Source organism: Homo sapiens, chromosome 17 (genome assembly GCF_000001405.40).
Source record: "Homo sapiens chromosome 17, GRCh38.p14 Primary Assembly".
Classification (NCBI taxonomy): domain Eukaryota; kingdom Metazoa; phylum Chordata; class Mammalia; order Primates; family Hominidae; genus Homo; species Homo sapiens.
The window spans coordinates 66,550,229-66,569,579 of NC_000017.11; the positions used below are offsets into that span (position 1 = coordinate 66,550,229).

Consider the following 19,351-nt stretch of genomic DNA (forward strand, 5'->3'; position numbering starts at 1 on the left):
GCCAGCATTCTCTCACAAAGGCTTCCCTTTGAGGTCTTCCTGGGTGTAGGTCCTTGGGGAAAACGTGCCAAGTTTCTGCACAGACTGTCCCTTGTCTCTTGACAATTGAAAGTTCCACGGCAGGTTAAAGAAGGCTCTGGGTCCGGGTGCAGTGGTCCATGTCTGTAATCCCAACACTTTGGGAGGCCGAGGCAGGTAGATCACCTGAGTTCAGGAGCTCAAGACCAGCCTGGCCAACATAGTGAAACCATGTCTACTAAAAATACAAAAATTAGCTGGGTGTGGTGGCGGACATCTGTAGTCTCAGCTACTCGGGAGGCTGAGGCAGGAGAATGGCTTGAACCCGGGAGGCAGAGGTAGCAGTGAACCGAGATCGTGCCACTGCACTCCAGCCTGGGTGACAGAGTGAGACTCTGTCTCAAAATCAATCAATCAATCAATAAGGCTCTGGGAATAGAAATGGGAAAGATTCTCCAGTGCGGGCAAAGGAAAGCACAGTCCTGATTAAAGCTTCCTGCCAGCATTAAATGTCCGTTCATTCACTGCCTCCTCCATGGTGCGATGCGGGTGGAAAGGAAGCGACACATTCGTCTTTCTTGCAAAGAGCTTGCAATGCTGTATTCTGTTGAGCATGTAAGAGTGGGGAGCTGTGTGTGTTTTATGAAAATGTCTTTTGTTACCAAGCATAGCTCTTATTAAACGGCTTCTTTTCTTTTAAAGCCTATATAACATGAGTTACATGGGCGTTTACATCAATTTTGTGTTGGTATATAGTAAATTACCCCAAAACACAGTGGCTTAAAACAATTGATGTTTATTATTTCACAGCATCTTTTTTAATTGTTGTTTTTTGAGACAAGGTCTCACTCTGTCACCCAGGCTGGAGTGCAGTGGCACAGTCATGACTCACTGTAGCCTTGATCTCCTGGCCTCAAGTGATCCTCCCACCTTAGCCCTGTGAGTAGCTGGGACCACAGGCATGCACTGCCACACCTGGCTAATTTTTTATACTTTTCCGTAGAGACAGGGTTTTGCCATGTTGCCTTGGCTTCATAGCATCTTTGGGTCAGAAATTGGTACCCAGCTGAGCAAGGTGTCTGCCTCAGGGACTCACATAAGGCTGCAATCAAGGTATGGGCTGGGGCTGCGGCCATCTCAAGACTTGAGTAGGGGAGGACCCATTCCCAAGCCTGCTTTTCGCAGGGTTTAGTTCCTTGCAAGCTGTTGGCGGAAGCCTGCCTTGATTCTCGCCATAGGGCAGCTCGCAGCATGGTAGCTGGCTTCCATCAGAGTGAGTAAGAGAGGGCGAGCCAGACGAAATCAGTCTTATAACCTAATCCAGGAGTGACACCCCATCACTTTTGCTATATTCCATATACTTGAAGTGAGTCACTAGGTCCAGCCCATACTCAAGGGGGGGATATTGTTTGAACACTTAAGTACCAGGACAGGGGACAGGGGCAAATTAGAGGGGAACTCAGAGGCTGCCTACCATAGCAGAACAGTAAGTTTCACTTGAAGCAAACATATTTATGAGAATCCTAATTTATATATATATATGAGAGAGAGAGGGGGGAATTATCTTTCTCTTCTTTCCTTTAATGAAGTATAATTCACATATTACAAAATGCATAGATCTGAAGTGCATAGTTTAATGAATTCTGAAAAATGTGTAGGATTTTGTTATTTTATAAAACCCTGGGCCATGAGGTTTCTTTAAATGCCAAATACTATAGATTTATTTACAGTGTATATATTTATGTACAGTGTAAACAATAGGTGTATTTGGCCAGGCACAATGACTCATGCCCGTAATCCCAGCACTTGTGGAGGCCAAGGTGGGCAGATCACTTGAGCCCAGGAGTTTGAGACCAGTCTGGGCAACATGACAAAATCCCATCTCTAGGAAAAAATACAAAATTAGCTGGGCATGGTGGTACATGCCTATACTCCCAATGAGTCGGGAGGTTGAGGCAGGAGAATCAACAGAGCCTGGGAGTTAGAGGGTGCAGTGAGCCATGATTGCACCACTGCACTCCAGTCTGGGTAATAGCTAAGACCCTGTCTCCAAAACAAAACAAAAAGATGTATTTGTTATGTATTGCATATAACAAATGTCCCTAAAATGTCGTGGCTTAAAGCAACACCATTTATTTTCTCGCAGTTTCTGTGGGTCACAGTTCAGCTGCGTGCTTGTGATTGAGGGTTTCTCCCGGGCTGCAGCCCAGAAGTCTAATCATCTGAGGCTCGACTGGGGAAGGATCTGCTTCTAAGCCTGCTCATGTGATGGCAGGATTCAGTTCCTCGTTGACGTTAGACTGGACCCTTAGTTCCTTATGGCTGTTGGCTGGACTTTGCCCTCAGTTCCTTGCCCCATGGGCTCCTTGCTTCCTAAAAGCACCCAAGCCAAGATTGCACTGTCAGGAGAGAACTACCAGCAAGATCGCAGTCATGGTCTTTTATACTCTAATCACATAAGTGACAACCTGACATTTTCACCATAGTCTGTTCATTTGAAGTGAGCCACTAGGTCCAGCCCACACTCAAGGAGAGACTACACAAGGGCATGAGCACCAGGAGGCAGGGACGCACTGAGAGCCATGTCAGATGCCGCCTCCCGCCATGTATGATGAAATACACTATAGACACAACTGTTTTAAGAGCCTACCAGTTTTATGAACCCAAGTATGTCTTTTTAGTAGAACATCTAAATCTAGACAGCTAGAAGAACTACATTTTATAAAAATCTGAATATTTTCTTTTTTTTTTTTGAGACAGAGTCTCACTCTGTTGCTGGTGCCAGAGTGCAGTGGTGTGATCTTGGCTCACTGCAACCTCTGCCCCCTGGGTTCAAGCGATTCTTCTGCCTCAGCCTCCCAGGTAGCTGGGACTACAGGCTTGTACCAGCATGCCTGGCTAATTTTTGCATTTTTAGTAGAGGTGGGGTTTTGCCGTGTTGCCCAGGCTGGTCTCAAACTCCTGAGCTCAAGCGATCCACCCGCCTCAGCCTCCCAAAGTTCTGGGATTATAGCGTGAGCCACCCTGCACCTGGCCTGATGAATGATTTTTAAATTGTGACTCCCCTATGCTCAAATGAGATTGGATCAAATGTCTTCTCTAGCAAATAAATAATTCCATAGCTAGAAAGATCTTTGGTAGGTAGTTTCCTTCCTCTTGTGTGTTCCCTGAGCTCTCCTACTGACGTTTTGGAATATTTTCACAGATTCTTGAATACTCCTCCCTGCCAGAGGTAAAGAGCTTAACTCTTATCCTCTTAAGTGTGGACTAGATTTCGCGACTTGCTTCTAATGGATAGAATATGGTAGCAGTGACAGTGTGTGACTTCTGAGAATAGCTGTAAAAGGCATCGTAGCTTCCTCATTGCTGTTTTTCTTGGATCACTTGCTCTGGGGAAGCCCAGCAGCCATGCCGTGAGGACACTCAAGCAGCCTTTGAAGGAGCTGCTGGTGAGGAACTGAGTCTTCCTGCTGACATTGACATGAGCGAAGCATCTTGGAAGTGGATCCTTTCATTTTTCAGGTACCGTGCCAGGGCCTGTGAGGGAACCAAGACGTGTAAGACATGGCCTCTCATTAGTGTTTAAGCAGTAGAGAAAGCTGGTGCCATCTCATTGTTCAGGAGATGAAGTGTGTGGCCGGGGTGATCCAGAGAGTCTCCTTGAAAGTACAGTGTTGAACCTTGGACTTTGGGGTAGAATTCAGACAGGGTGATGGACAGCTAAAGTGGTTCAGAGGCTGGGGTACAGCATGAGGTTATTAAAATGATGGGGCTGAGAAGTACAAGACCTGTAAGTGAAGAACTGGGCACCAGACATTGGCATGAAGAGAAAGAAGACACCTGTGTTCAGAAGTGAGCCTGCCAGGGCAGAGTTAAGACTTTTTGCTGGCCAGGTATGGTGGCTCACGCCTGTCATCCCAACACTTTGGGAGGCCAAGGTGGGAGAATTGCTCTAGACCAGCTTGGGCAACATCGTGTGACCCCGTCTCTATGAAAAAAAAAAAAAACGAGAGAAAAAAAGTTATTTCTCAAAAAATAGCCTTGGACTTGTTCAAATTTGGATCAGGTGTGAACTTGTCCCAGTGGAGCCATGGAGCCCAGGCTGTGTGTCAGAAAGCCTGCAATAGGCTTCCTTGACCCAGAAGATTTTTAGAGCCTCCATTACCAATCACGCTATGACACGTTTCTTGTTCCCATTGGGGCCTGTGTTTCAAACTTTGGGCTGGAAGAGAACATTCCCGTGACTACTCACATCATTTCTATTACCTACAGCTCTTCTCCCCTGTATTGCTAGTCTGCCTCTACCTTTTGAGATCCTACTCACTCTCCGAAGGTAAGGTGGGTGACCTGTTAATTTTAAAGGACTTTTTTTTGGTGGGGGGCACTAGCAAATAAATTAAATCTATGGATGTGAAGGGAGTTTGGTTATGACATCCACTGCCCCATTAACAGCCTTGTCCTTCCTCTTGGCTTCCCAAGCTGTGTGTTCTGTTGAAGAGGAGGCCTCTCCTTGCCCCAGGAATGGATCAGCCAGTTGGGATTATCTGTTGCCTCTAAACACTTGTAGTACTGTGTTGATGCCATCCCATTGTACTTGTGATTCCACGTTGTCACCTTAAGTAGATTGTAAATTCTTTTTTTTTTTTTTTTAAAGACAGGGTCTCACTCTGTCGCCCAGGCTGGAGAGCAGTGGCACGATCTCAGCTCACTGCAACCTCTGCCTCAGGTTCTGGCAATTCTCCTGCCTCAACCTCCCGAGTAGCTGAGACTACAGGCGCACGCTGCCATGCCCGGCCAAGTTTTTGTATTTTAGTAGAGATGGGGTTTCACCCTGTTGCCCAGGCTCGTCTCGAACTCCTGAGCTCAGGCAATCCACCTGCCTCGGCCTCCCAAAGTGGTGGGATTACAGGCGTGAGCCACCACGCCCAGCCAGTAGATTGTAAATTCTTTGAAGGCAGGTATCGTATCTTTCTGTGCAGTCAGCACAGCATTTTAAATGCAATGCTTGCTTATGAAGGGCTGTTTTTCTTTCTGGATTGTTGCGTGTGGCAGATGGAGTGCCACGCAACCAGACTTCTTGGCTACAACACACATGTGGCTTCTTTTATGGAAGTTGCCACCTGCAGATCCTTCACCACCAAGAACATGCTTTTCTGTCATATTGCAGAATCTTTGTGGAGGATCCTCGTTCTTCCTTAACTTCCTTTGTGCCACACGCTTCCCCACTTCACTTGGGCACCTTTGAACAGAGAAGCAGGATTGCTGCCTCCCCACCAGTGTAATAAATGCTCTTTACAAATGTCCCTCCTTGGAAGTATATCTTGTAGAAATCCTAGTTTCTAACTTCATCCAAGAAATTTCTAGACAACTTGTAGCCTAGATTATCCTTTAAGAGCCACTTACACTACTGGAAAACAACTCCACCCAGGTTCTTATTTGAGTTACAGGGACAAGAAGCCTTTGGATTGCAGGTTTAAAAAAAAATTTTTTTTTTATTGCTGAGACTTCTATTATGAACTACCACAGTTGACAAACTGTTAGTTTCCATAGCAATTTTAGACTGTCCTTAGGTGAAGGGTTTCCCTTCCAGTTGCTATTTAAGATGTGTGGAATCCAAGAAGTCACAAAAGGTATTTCATGTGTCATACCTTGGCAATGCGTGCTACTAATTATTTTTTTGTTCCTGTCGTTAAATATAGAGCCTTCTCATTTATTTTGTCAAATGCATTTTCCTCTACTACTTTTTTTTTTCTTTTTAAAGAAAGATGCTCTGTGAAAAGGAAGCCATTCATCCATCCAGGTGAGCTCTGGATGGGCGAGCCAGCCATGGGGACTCCTCCCTGGGACTGGAGCTCTTTTTGACTGAGCTGCACCTTTGAGCATCGAGTTTCTGTTTACCACCTGGATGCTTTCCATTTTGAACACATTTGGGCCTTTCACTGAAAGGCACTTTAAAAATTCAAGGTTTTAGCATCATCACCAAAAACATCTACTAAAATATGCATTTGTACCTGGAGTCATTTAAAACAAATGAGTTAACCTCCTGTGCTCTGAGAATAATCTTTTCTTTCTTCTTCTTTTTTTTTTTTTTTTTTGGTCAAGACAATAGTCTTCATGGGCATTAGGTGACAACAGCTATGCAATTTCATTTTAGTCCATAATACATTATTTAAAGAGGTTATTGAAAATGTTGATTCCTGGAGCTAAAGAAATGGAAATATTTAACCAAAAGAAGAGAACATTTGAAGACCTCAAAGCTTTCATGAGATGTTTGAAAGGCAGTTGAATGTGGAGAGGGTATGCTATCTGCTATGGTCTGGCTCTGTTTCCCCACCCAAATCTCACCTTGATTTGTATCAAGAGCAAGAACAGTTGGAGACAACTAAATCATGGGGGGCAGTGTTTTTCCCATGCTGTTCTCATGATAGTGAGTTCTCAGAGATCTGACAGTTTTATAAGGGGCTTCCCCCTTTGCTCAGCTCTCATTCTTCTCTCTCCTGCCGCCTTGTGAAGGACATGTTTGCATCCCCTTCCACCATGATTTTAAGTTTCCTGAGGCCTCCCCAGGCCTGTGGATCTGTGAGTCAATTAAATCTCTTTCCCTTATAAATTACCCCATCTCGGGTATGTCCTTATAACAGCATGAGAATGGACTAATACACTACTACCTGATACTCCCCGGGGAAGAACCCCACAGCATCAGGATAGGGGATAAGGAAAGCAATTTGGGTCAATGGAGGAGCAAATTTGCCAGCAGTTTGGAGCTGTTGATAGTTGGATTAGATGGTTTCATGAAGTTTTGAGCCTCTAGATTCAGAGACCAAGTGACCACCTTCCCCTTGCGCTGAGAGGGAATTTCTTCAACTGGTTGGAAATGGAATGATAGGTAGGATCCAGAAGGGCTATCTAACTTGATAATTTATGTGATTGTTTTCTCATTTAAGGGAGAGAATATTATCTACAGTGTTTCTGATTTTTTTAAGGGCCTTGGGGAAGGACATAATGAATTATTCAGAGACTTCTCTCTGTGAAGCAAGTTGCACAGAGACAGACAACTTGATACAAATTACGATTCTAAATTTGTTAGTAATATATTTTATTCATGCACTCTACTTACAATAGATTTCCTGCTTGACATTTCTTAGACATATCACTCATGATCCCACAGTTGCTCTTTGAATGGGTGCGAAACCTGTGCAAAAAAAAAAAAAGATGTACACAGTCTAATGAATTATGCAAGTCTTAAAATGTCTCAAGAAAAAGATTACTCATTAGGATTTTCGAATGAATAAATTCAACATAATTGTTGGTGCAACTGCTCTCTCATGTAATAGGTACCAAAATCTGATTCATGTTTTATATTGGAGGGACGGGTACTTTTCTGAAGAATTTTAATAAAGGCAAATAAATGCCTTTTCTAGGATGCTTTATAGTAGAGCCCACAAAGGTTTTCTTCAGCAATACTATCAGTGCTGCTTTTCTCTCCATACTTCCAAAACCTAGAATTTTTTGCCAGTACTTTTTCCCTGTTTTCTTCTGAGTGGTAAAATCCATCTGGGCAGATTTTCTACAGGCCTGTGAGGGGGTGTTAGCCAGAGAGCAGTGTTTTGAGCTCATATACAGAATAGGTGCCTCTGGATAGAAGTTCCGATCCCAGTATCCTCTCCCAGGCCCCAGTTCTGCACAGGCAGAGGACACCATCCCCATGCAGTCCAGACACCTGCCAGCAAATGTACTCGTTTGCTGACATCTAGGGAGCCTTGTGATGCTTCTGAATACTGCCCACCGTTCCCAATTGCTGAAATGTTTAAGAACTTTATAGCTCTAGCCAATACGGGAATAGCTGTACATTCAGGAATGCTCGTGAAATGTGGCAGGGCCTTGCCCTCCTAGGCTTGAGGCCCAGGCTCCTGATGGTCGGTTTGATTGGTGGCTTATCCATGCACCTGATAGTTATTTATGGCTACGTGCTAGGTACTGTGCAGACACCGAAGCATAAACATTTCCCCTCCTGGGGCTTCTGGTCTTGTTGAAGAGACGGACAGTCAACATGTATGCCAATAAATACATTATTTGTTTAAAGTCACAGTAGGTGCTATGTAGGCGAAAAACAAGGAGTACTGGTAAGGAATAGGAGAAGAGGGCTTTGCTGGGATGGGACCTTTAGCAGAGACTTGGGGGATGTGTGGGATCAGTGTAGGGAGAGGAGAGGGGAGCAAGCCAGGGAGAAAGGAGCTTGGCCGAGGGCCTAGAGCACCCGGGGCAAAGGGGGACCTGGTGCAGGCTGAGGCAGGTGAGCTGAGCAGAGGCAGACAGGGCCCAGTGCAGTGAGGAATCTGATTCTCATCCAGCTGCAAAGGTAAGAGTTATAAGGTTTTAGGCTAAGAGTGAGATCATCATAAAGATGGCCCTGACTACTGCCTAGGAGGAGTGGAGAGTAAGGGGGGGAGGGAGGACAGACTGTAAGTGGAAAAGAGAGAATGTGAGAAGAGTAGTGGTTGGCAATTGCAGTTGTTTTAGTCCAAGATGATGATACCCGCAGCTGGGGTGGTGGCAGCGAAAGCAGCCGACGGTGAAGGTCTGCATGGAGGTTCGGCCATGGACCTGAGGGGTAATCTGCCATGCAGTTCAGAATGATGACCCTCGGACCGGGCATGCTTCTCAGTTAACATCTGATGCTGCCCTACTAAAGGCAAAACGGATGGTCTAATGCAGGCAAACTGGAAATAGTGCTGGTAAGAACTGAGAGCACCTGTGCTTGCCATCCCCATGCATTCGAACAGGCTGTGGCTTCCCTCTGGGCTCAAGTGGAACTGTTTGGACAGTACACATTTGAATCTGTGACAGCTCTTGCACTGGACTGGGAAAGTTTTGGGCAAAAGGAGTCCTTGAATCAGAGACTCTTAATGCAGGGACAGACCTTAAAAGCCCTCCAAGCCCTCCAGGCCGGGCACGGTGGCTCATGCCTGTAATCCTAGCACTTTGGGAGGTTGAGGTGGATGGGTCACGAGGTCAGGAGTTCAAGACCAGCCTGGCCAAGATGGTGAAACCCTGTCTCTCCTAAAAATACAAAAAAAAAATGAGCTGGGCGTGGTGGTGGGCGCCTGTAATCCCAGCTACTCAGGAGGCTGAGGCAGAGAATTGCTTGAACTCAGGAGGTGGAGGTTGCAGTGAGCCAAGATCACGCCACTGCACTCCAGCCTGGGCGCAACAGAGTGAGTCTCTGTCTCACCAAAAAAAAAAAAAAAAAAAAAAAAAAAGCTCTCCAGTACCCTCATCTTAGAGTTTAGGGAACTCAGGCTCAGAGAGGTTTGAGTTATTCATACAAAGACACGCAGCCGGTGAGTGACAGAGAGAAACTGTCCAATAAGGCAAATTTTTTTTTTAAGAATTTTGAATGATGGACTTATAAGTCTTCATTAAGTCCTTATAGGATCTAATTTTTATAAATCCTTTCAGAACTAATTTATTTAAGGATTAAGCCAGTCAAAATCCCAGAACGGTTTCAAGTCAACAGCTTAAAAGTGGAATCTGAATGTTAACCAAGATGATTTTCCTTGTATGTGGACGGCTGTAATTGGGCCCCAGTCTCTCATGTGAAAAGCCAAACAGATTCAGATCTAATGAGTTCTGGCCGCTGGGGCAGATGGATTTTGGAATTTGCTATTTATAGTGTTTTCAAGTGTCACCTTCCCCTTTTAATAAGCACTGAGCTGTGATCTGGCCCCAGGAGCCTGGAGCACATTGGTAGGTGTGCTGAGGGCCTCACAGCCGAATGACTTCTGGTCCAGGTTTGGAATTGAAGGTTTAAGTTGGGATGTTGGCTATTCCTCAGAAGTGAGGATGTGTTCTTCCAAATAAATGGTGATCAATCCCTGTGCATTGGAGAGCTGATGGGGGTGTGCTTGGCGGAGAGAGGCATACCCCCAGAGGCTTGAGGAGGGCAGTTGTATTTCACGTGCTGAGGAGAGTAGTGGTGTGGTTAAATCAGGAATAAAAAAAAAATATGAAGAAATTGTCAGGGAGAGCTTCAGCTGGGCCCAAAGGAAATCAAGAAAAGAGCAAATGAGAATGCAATTTAAAATGTAAATACAAACTGAAATCAAAGCCATTTCTATGAAACATTTAAGAACATTCTGTAAGTATTGCTGGTCAGGAAAGCACAAAAAATTGTCTGTGTTTTGAGCCCATTGTCAGTGTATTATTTAGAGGGAAGTTCTGATTTTTGCTAAGGGGTTATTCCGAGTTGCGAAGTGGTGTGGTGTTGGGGGAAGAATACCACCAACTCCAGGCCAGCTGCTGCATCTCCTGGAATCTCTGTTTTCTCTTCTGTAAGATGGGAGTCAGGGTGGCCTCCATCTGATCACACTGAATTGTTGAGTGACTCAAAGGAGATAATGTACCAAACACTTTGTAAGCCCTATGACACCGTTCAAAGTCTATTTCCTCCCAGCTCTGTTTTCTAAAATCAGGCTGTATGTTCGAATCACCTGAGGAACTTAAGACTATTACCAGCGCCACCACTGGCATTTTTCATTCTCTTGGACAGCAGAGGTTTTCCAAAGCCCTGGATGTCATTCTGCTGGGCAAGTCTGGCTGACGGGGCTCTGAGGAGTTGGAGGGCCTGTCCACCCTTGCCTTTGGGAAACCAGCCAGCCAGTGGTCCAAGGAGATTGTCGGCTGTCTTCCCAAGTCAGCGCCATCTTCCTTCCTGCTCATTTCCTGTCTCCCAGTTTTTCCCTGGAACCTTTCCATTTAAATATGAATTCAGCTGCAGCCTGCGGGGATCTGAAGTACTAGCGAGTTGACTGCCTGAGGAGGTGGGCCTGTGGAGAACCAGAGCTACAGTTTTCCACAAAACATATCATTTTAAATGATTCTGAAGCCTGTTAAATTACACTGATGGGATTAATCTGATAAAGTGGTAACAGGGTAGATGCACCGAAATGATCGCTTTCACATGCTTTTTAATTCAGTCAAAATTAATGAAAGATCTTGTGTTTACGGATGGAACTGGAGTTTAAAATTCTGAATTCATTAGCCTGTTTTAATGCATAAATCTAACTTCCTTGTCCGTGTGTGAAACTCAACTAGAGTGCAGCTCGATGCTACTCTGCCAAGAGAACAGGCAGAAGGAAGCCACATTTTACCCTTGAAGCCGGGTTAGCCCCGTGCCTTGATCATGCCACTGAGAATGTATGTTTCTAGTCTGAATCCTTTTGGCTTTATGTTGTCATTCAGCGTGTGTCATGTCCACACCCAGGGATAATTCCTGTCTTAGAAATAAGGTGTATGATCCAGCAATTACACTTCTGGATATAGACCCAGAAGAGGGTCTCGAAGAGATACTTGTATGCCCATGTTCGTAGCAGCAGCAACATTCACAATAGATAAGAGGTAGAAGCAACCCAAGTGCCTATTGAACAGATGAATGGATAAACAAAATGTGGTAACTACATATGATAGAGTGTTGTTCAGTCTTCAAGAAGAAAGAAATGCTGACACCTGCTACAGTGTGGATGAACCCTGAAGACTTTCTGCTAAATGAAAAAGCCATTCAAAAAAGGACAGATATTAAACGATTATATGAGGTACTTGGAATAGTCAGAAATCATGGCAAGTATAATGATGGCTGCTAGAGGCTACAGGGAAGGAGGAATGTTAATGGGTATAGAGTTTCAGTTGTGGAAGATGAAAGAGTTGTTGAGGTGGATGGTGGTGATGGTTGCAGAATAGTGTGAATGTACTTACTGCCATACAACTGTACACTTAAAAATGGTTAAAGTGGTCAATTTAATTATATATATAATTAAATATATATAATTAAATTATATATATAATTAAATATATATAATTAAATTATATATATAATTAAATATATATAATTAAATTATATATATAATTAAATTATATATATAATTAAATATATATAATTAAGTTATATATAAAATTAAATATATATAATTAAATTATATATAATTATATATATATATATCTCACCACAATAAAAAAAAAAGTAAAACATAACAAAAGAATAGAGGTATCTGTAGGAGCTCTCTGCCCTAATTCAGATGAGTACCACCCTATAAATGCTGGTGAAGTCTACAGGATTTTTGCCAGCATGGCAACCACTGTGCTGTCCATTCTTGGTCAGACCTGTAGAAGGGAAACAGCAGTTGTGGAAGTATGTCTCAGGCACCCTGGAGGACACCTAAGGGGAAACTCATCTGACAAGGACACAGACATTTTTCTAGGTTCCCTGAGTCTTCTGTGTGGTCCATCCTACCAGCTGGGGTTATCTGATATTCCAGTGTATGTGAAAATAATAGCTAAGTTTTGTTTTTTTTTGTTGTTGTTGTTGTTGTTTTTTGGCAGAGTCTCACTGAGTCACCCAGGCTGGAGTGCACTGGCACTATCTTGGCTCACTGCAACCTCCATCTCCTGGGTTCAAGCGATTCTTCTGCCTCAGCCTTCTGAGTAGCTGGGATTACAGGTGCGCGCCACCACGCCCAGCTAATTTTTGTATTTTTAGTAGAGACAGGGTTTCACCATGTTGGCCAGGCTAGTCTCAAACTCCTGACCTCAGATTATCTGCCCACCTCGGCCTCCCGAAGTGCTGGGATTACAGGCATGAACACTGTGCCTGGCCAGCTTGATAAATTTTTATGCAGAATGGTTTTATTTTATTATTATTTGGAAGGGAATAGTGGCCCTTCTCTCTGATTTCTGGTTATATACCTATAACTGTAGCAGCTATTTCATCCTGTTAGCTTTTTTTTTAAAAAGATATTTTTTAGAGCCATTGTTTTAGGGTTATAGGAAAATGGAGTGGAAAGTACAGTGTTCCCTTATACCTGCCCCTCTCCTCAACAGTCTCCCCTCTTATTAACATCTTGCATTAATTAGTGTGGTACATTTCTTACAACTGATGCAATATTATTAACAAAAGTCCATGGTCTACATTAGGGTTCGGTCTTGGTAGTGTATAGTCTGTGGGTTTGGACAAATGTGTCATGGCCCGTATCCACCTTTATAGTATCATACAGAGGATCTTCACTGCCCTAAAAATCCTCTGTGCTCCATCTTGTTCTTCCCTCCCTCCCATCAGCCCCTGATCCTTCTATTGCCTCCATAGTTTTTCCTTTTCTGGAATGTCATATAGTTGAAGTCATGCAGTATGTAGCCTGTTCAGATTGGCTTCTTTCACTTAGTAATATGCACTTTAGTTTCCTCCATGCCTTTTCTTGACTTGATAGTTCATTTCTTTTTAGTGCTAAATCATATTCCATCATCTGGGTATACCATGGTTTATCCATTCACCTATTCAAGGGTATCTTGGTTGCTTCCAAGTCCTGTGCTCTTTTAAGATTTCAGTTTTTGACCCTTGATGTGACAAGATGGGAAGGGCCACAAAATATCTCATTCTTTTTCTCCTGTTGACTTAGTCTGAATACTCCAGACTGTGCTGACCTGTGTGGTTCAGTCTAGGAGCCATAGGCTCTGTGAGGCTGTTGAACAGTTGAAATGCGGCTGGTCCAAATGGAGATGTTTGTACTGTCTGTGCAGAGGTACGTTGGATTTCAGACTTAGTATAAACAAAAGAGTTTAAAGTATCATTAATTTCTTACATCAGTTATGTATAGAAATGATAATTTATATCTTGGATTATATAAAACATTTAAAAATTGTTGTACTTGTTTCTTCTTTCCTTCCTTCCTTCCTTCCTTCCTTCCTTCCTTCCTTCCTTCCTTCCTTCCTCCTTTCTTTCTCTCTCTCTTTCTTTCTTCCTCTCTTCCTTCCTTTCTTCCTTTTCTTCCTTTCTTCCTTCTTTCTTTCTCTTTCTTTCTTTCGAGACAGAGTCTCGCTCTGTTGCCCAGGTTGGAGTGCAGTGGGGCCATCTCGGCTCTGTGCAGGCTCTGCCTCCCGGGTTCAAGGGATTCTCCTGCCTCAGCCTCCCGAGTAGCTAGAATTACATTTGCCCACCACTACACCTGGCTAATTTCTGTATTTTTAGTAAAGATGAGGTTTCACCATGTTGGTCAGGCTGGTCTCAAACTCCTGACCTCAGGTGATCCACCTGCCTCGAACTCCCAGAGTGCTGGGATTATAGGTATGAGCCACTGTGCCCAGCCTCTTTTTAATTGTTTAATGAGACTACTAGAAAACTGTAAATTACCTACAGCTCACATAATGTTTCTGTTGGGTGGTGCTTCTGGGAAAAAGAGGAATGCGTGGCTTTTGTCCATGGTGCCTCTTTAAGGATGTTATTCAGCTGATGTTTCTCAGGTACCTGCTATGTGCCAAGCACTGTTGAAGCACTTCAGATAATTCAGTGATTGAAAGAAACAAAACCCATGACTTTGTGGGTTTTAGTACATTAGATTTGGATATTATCAAATTATTTTGGCACTTTTTCTCCACAGTAGCACTACTGTTTTTAAAAGACCAGTGCCAGCCGGGTGCAGTGGCTCATGCCTGTAATCCCAGCATTTTGGGAGGCTGAGGTGGGTGGATCACGAGGTCGGGAGTTCAAGACCAGCCTGGCCAAGATGGTGAAACCCCATCTCTACTAAAAATACAAAAATTAGCCGGACGCAGTGGCAGGCACCTGTAGTCCCAGCTACTCAGGAGGCTGAGGCAGGAGAATCGCTTGAACCCGGTTGGCAGAGGTTGCACTGAGCCAAGATCACGCCACTGCACTCCAGCCTGGGTGATAGAGTAAGACTCCGTGTCAAAACAACAATCACCACCACCACCACCACAACAAGAAACACACACCAGTGGCCCAGGAAAGACAAAGGAGGCTTTAGGATATGTCCCGGTTCTCATTCTGGTCCCAACACTTATTATGGATGTAACTTTTGGCAGTTCCTTACCCGTTAAGCCTTGGTTTCCTAACCGTAAAATGGGACTAAGTAATTCCTCTCATAGAGTGCTGCTTGTGCAACATGGGGTCAGAATGAGTACTCAGGAAGTGATTCCCACTCAGCCCGCATCCCTTCCTGGAGCACTGCAGTTTTGGGATTCTTGTCTCCAGCCCAGCTCTTACAGCCCCTGAGAGCATGCTGAGCAGGGGAAAGCTGCTCTAAAGTTCAATTTGCATTGTACCTTCTCCATTTACATTTCTTGACCTTTTGCTTTCTCATCCAGCAATCCCCAGCAGGGTGTCTGTGTTCTAAGGCACCCACCTAGCCTCTTTCTGAATTTTAATCCCAGCTCTGGCTAAAAGCCTGAAAGCAAAATATGAATCGTAGCTCCACAATTATAACGTGGGACTTTCTTTATAAAATGAAGTTGCTCTAGCAGAAAGCCAGGGCTACAAATCAGTAGCGGCTTCAGGATGCATGGCCTCTTTCTGGCATAGGAGGCCCCTTTTTCTTCTCAGTCGCGGTGTTTCTTCCAACATCTATGCATGTTGAAGTCTGGAGAAGGCTGATGCTGAGAGATATGTACTAATGAAATGCACAGGTGTTATCTTTTTCTGTTCCAAGTCCCTGTGTGCCCTCCTGTCTTGGTGGGTGGCATGGCAGGACATAGAAACACTTGGAACCTGTTTACTATTTTCCAAAAAGGCCTTGCCTGTAGCCCATTGATCTACCCACTATGTATATTCATTTTAATGCTGTTTTTGAGTCCGTTGACTACCCCGGGAAATCAAAGTTGACTACCACAGCCCTAGTCCTCAAGTGTCTTGCCTGCAATGAGGTTACCTGGCCTATTAGAATTAAGGACTAAAATGCAGGAGCTGGGGTCACACCTGCCAGCTGTTTGTGAGCCCTGAAGATGTTGGGGATTTAAATTTTAGATAGATCATTGTAGCTGCAAGGGGTAGGACGGATAGGTGGGGTATCCAGAGTCCTTGGATACCTTGTCTTCCTGGACCCTCTCTCAGCACCCTTGGGCTAAGATGCACTCTTGAACACATTTCCTCTATGGCCCCTTTCAGATCTGCTGATGATACCTGGATTCCTTCTTTCAGAGTGACCCAGCCCCATCCCAGGGAACGGGCAGATGGGCTCTGTTGCCCATCTCAAAGTTCCCTTACTTTTTTTCTTTTGAGGTTTTATCAGTCCAGAAGTGGAAAGAAGATGGATGCCATTAGCTTTAGAAATATTTTTTATGTTTTAGGGAGAAAGAAGCAGAGAATATACTTTTAGATGAGCACACTTTAAAATACCAGTAAGACAGACTTGTTGGAAGACAGGCATTGTGAAGAACTGTTGTTGTTTTTTGGTTTTTTTTTTTTTTTTTTTTTTGCAACAGCTTTCCCCACTTTGGGAAATGAGAACTTATGCCCTCCTGAATGTTGTATTTGATGGGACTTAGATCCATGGGGGAATTTTATTTTATTTTTTAGGAAAAGGTAACCTACTAAGTATAGTTATATCCTTCTAGCATGAAATATAATCATTTATTAGACCAGAACTGTTTGTTAATTCAGCAGTGTGTCTTGAAAAAGAGCCACCCTCAAATTTAAAGTAGAAATAGATTCTTCATTCTACACCTTTTTGACATCAGATTTGCTTTCCTGGTCTCAGTGCAGGTGCCCCTACTGTTTGGTGTTTGGGACACAGCCTCCGAGTAAGTCCAAGGAGAGCTTGGGGTTAGGCAGTATAGGCCATGAGCCCCTTGCCAGCCTCCCAGGGACTTTGAGAGGAGCTGTTTGGGGCAAGATGCTTAATGAAAGGATGTTTTGTAATTTAGAGAGAAAAAAGAAATTTATCCCATAGATAACTAAACCCTCAATGGGAATATTAGAAAATACAATTGTCACATTATGTAATATTTGTACATTTTCCACTGCAAGTAAGAATGCGTCCTTTCCTTAATTTTAAAATATGGAAAAGGTCGACCTTTCTGCTACCGTAAGGAAAATCAAGGGAAAGGGAGGTTTTATACATGATATGGGGAACTTGGTATAATTATTTAGCTCAGTATGAAATTCTGCCACAGGAATATAAGGTAATTAATTTCTCTAAGTATGAAATGCAATCTTGAAAAACTAGGAAACAGGTGCCGAGGTGACAAGATAGGAAGAGAAGCTGAGTGTTGTGCAGTGGCACCGAACAACTTCTGGAACATTCCAGAGCGTGGCTTTGTAGCTGGAGAGAGCCTCCTGGCTTCTGTGTGGCGACCGAGACTGACCCCTGCTGGCAGATTGTTGCTAAGCCGTGGCTGTTAATGAAGCAGGGCAATAAGGCCCTTAAGCAGGAGATCCTGCCAGGCCACAGGCAGGTCTGTCTCCGAGGCTATGCCTTGTACCAGCCCTTGATGCTGTTGCCTGAATTCCCAGTGGGAAGAAAAATGGACCCAGCAGTTTTTAGTGTTTTGGTCTCAGTTTCCACCATCTCTCCCCTTTCCCAGTCTGGGATGTCAGTGTTTGCTCTCTCCTCCCTACCCTCTGTTACCTCAAGATTTCATGGAAATAAAAAGCCCTGCTAACATCACAAAGAGGCTGAAAATTCCAGATCCACCTCGGAGCCAGACACTTGAGAAATTTGATGCCAAGGTAACCTGCGTTTGGGAAAACATCCTTATTAGGTTTATTTAAGAACGATTTGAAAAATTCCTATAAGTGAAAATCAGATGGGAAGAAGTCCAAAAATCTGATTCATGCCATGACTGTGATACAACCAAGATCTTCGTGAGCCAGTGGATGGGGAAGAGAGATAATGTACAATATTTCTATGTGTTTCCTGGAAAAATTCTTAAACGGATTATAAAAAGCACTAAGTGTAAAGGAAAATGTTAATACATTGGACTGCATTAAATAATAGACCAGCAGAGGTCTGGCGTGGTGACTCATGCCTGTAATCCCAGAACTTTGGGAGGCTGAGGCAGGCAGATCACTTGAGGTCAGTAGTTCGAGACTGGCCTGGCCAACACGATGAAACCCCATCTCTAGTAAAATTATAAAATTAGCTGGGCATGGTGGCACACACCTGTAATCCCAGCTGCTAGGGAGGCTGAAGCATGAGAATCACTTGAACCCCAAAGGCAGAGGTTGCAGTGAGCTGAGATGGCACCACTGCACTCCAGCCTAGACGACAGAATAAGACTCTGTCTCAAAAAACCCCCAAAAAATAGATGTGCAGAGTCTTTATTTGTGGTAGAGGTTAGTGTTTTCCCCACTACATTTTCCACCAGCTTGTTCTGGGAGCTGCTTTTGGGTGCTGGTGAGGAGTAATTCGTGGTTTAGGAAGCTTGAGTGCGGGTGCTGGGTCCTCTGCTTGTTGCTCAGCAGGGTACTGGAGGCCAGGAAGGCTGGCGCTGCAGAAATCTGTCTTCAGTGCACTTACTGCTGTTGCCATGGACAGCTCATTCGTATAGCTGGTGTGGAGCTAATGAAGTAGGGATGTTTTTAAAATGAAATTTTAAAAATGGGGTTTGAGAAGTACATAAACAGTTCATTGTGGCATAAAATGACATTATAATCATTTAATTTTGAGATGATTTAAAAATCATTTCCTCATGTTCCATGTTCTACAGCTTACCAGTCAGGAAAAAGGATAATTTTGTGGGACTCAATGAAGTGATGAAATTGAGAACAAAGCCTTTCATCTTTGGACTTACACTTCCATGTTCCTAAAAGAGTTAGGCAGGGATATGTAGGTAAATCAAAGACTGGAAACGTAGGGTCTTTGGAAACTTTTTTCTGGGTCATCTTTTTAGTCTTAAAGCTAAGCCTTCAGTTGCCAAGCAGTGGTTTTTTTAATGAATGAGGCTGGTCAATAGGATATCTATATTTTAAAAACCTCAACCACAAGTAACACCCTACACAAAAACCAATTACAGATAGATAGTAGACCTAATTGTAAAACAATAAATGTTCTAGAAAATGACAGAGAACATGTTTATGAAGTTGAGGTACAAAATAATTTTGTAAACAGGATCTAAATAGAACTAACCCTAAAGGAAAAGATTAATCAGGCATTTTTGTTAATTGAAACATCAAAGAATGAAAGGTAGACTGGTATTGGGGGAAGATATTTGCTACACTTATACCTGTTAAAGGGCTTGTGTCCTGAATTTAAAAAAAAGGTCAGGTGCGGTGGCTCACACCTGTAATCCCAGCACTTTGGAGGCCGAGGCAGGCGGGGATCGCCTGAGGTCAGGCGTTCAAGACAGCCTGGCCAACATGGTGAAACTCTGTCTCTACTAAAAATACAAAAATTAGCCAGGCATGGTGGCAGGCACCTGTAATCCCAGCTACCTGGGAGGCTGAGACAGGAGAATCGCTTGAACCCAGGAGGTGGAGGTTGCAGTGAGCTGAGACCATGCCACTGCACTCCAGCCTGAGCAAGAAGAGTGAAACTCCATCTCAAAAAAAAAG

The 19,351-nt window shown here is 43.8% G+C and overlaps 1 protein-coding gene across 11 annotated transcripts in view, besides 1 other annotated feature; it reads left to right on the forward strand.

The window, feature by feature from the left end:
- The window catches only part of PRKCA (protein kinase C alpha), a 508,131-nt gene that overhangs the window by 247,616 nt on the left and 241,164 nt on the right, over window positions 1-19,351 (forward strand). The window lies entirely within an intron of this gene.
- Window positions 760-1,643: an enhancer, noted in NCBI's record as "H3K27ac hESC enhancer chr17:64547106-64547989 (GRCh37/hg19 assembly coordinates)". NCBI's record gives its function as "activates a minimal SCP1, AML or CMV promoter by ChIP-STARR-seq in primed H9 embryonic stem cells {active_cell/tissue: H9 hESC(primed)}" and the evidence as "EXISTENCE:reporter gene assay evidence [ECO:0000049][PMID:30033119]".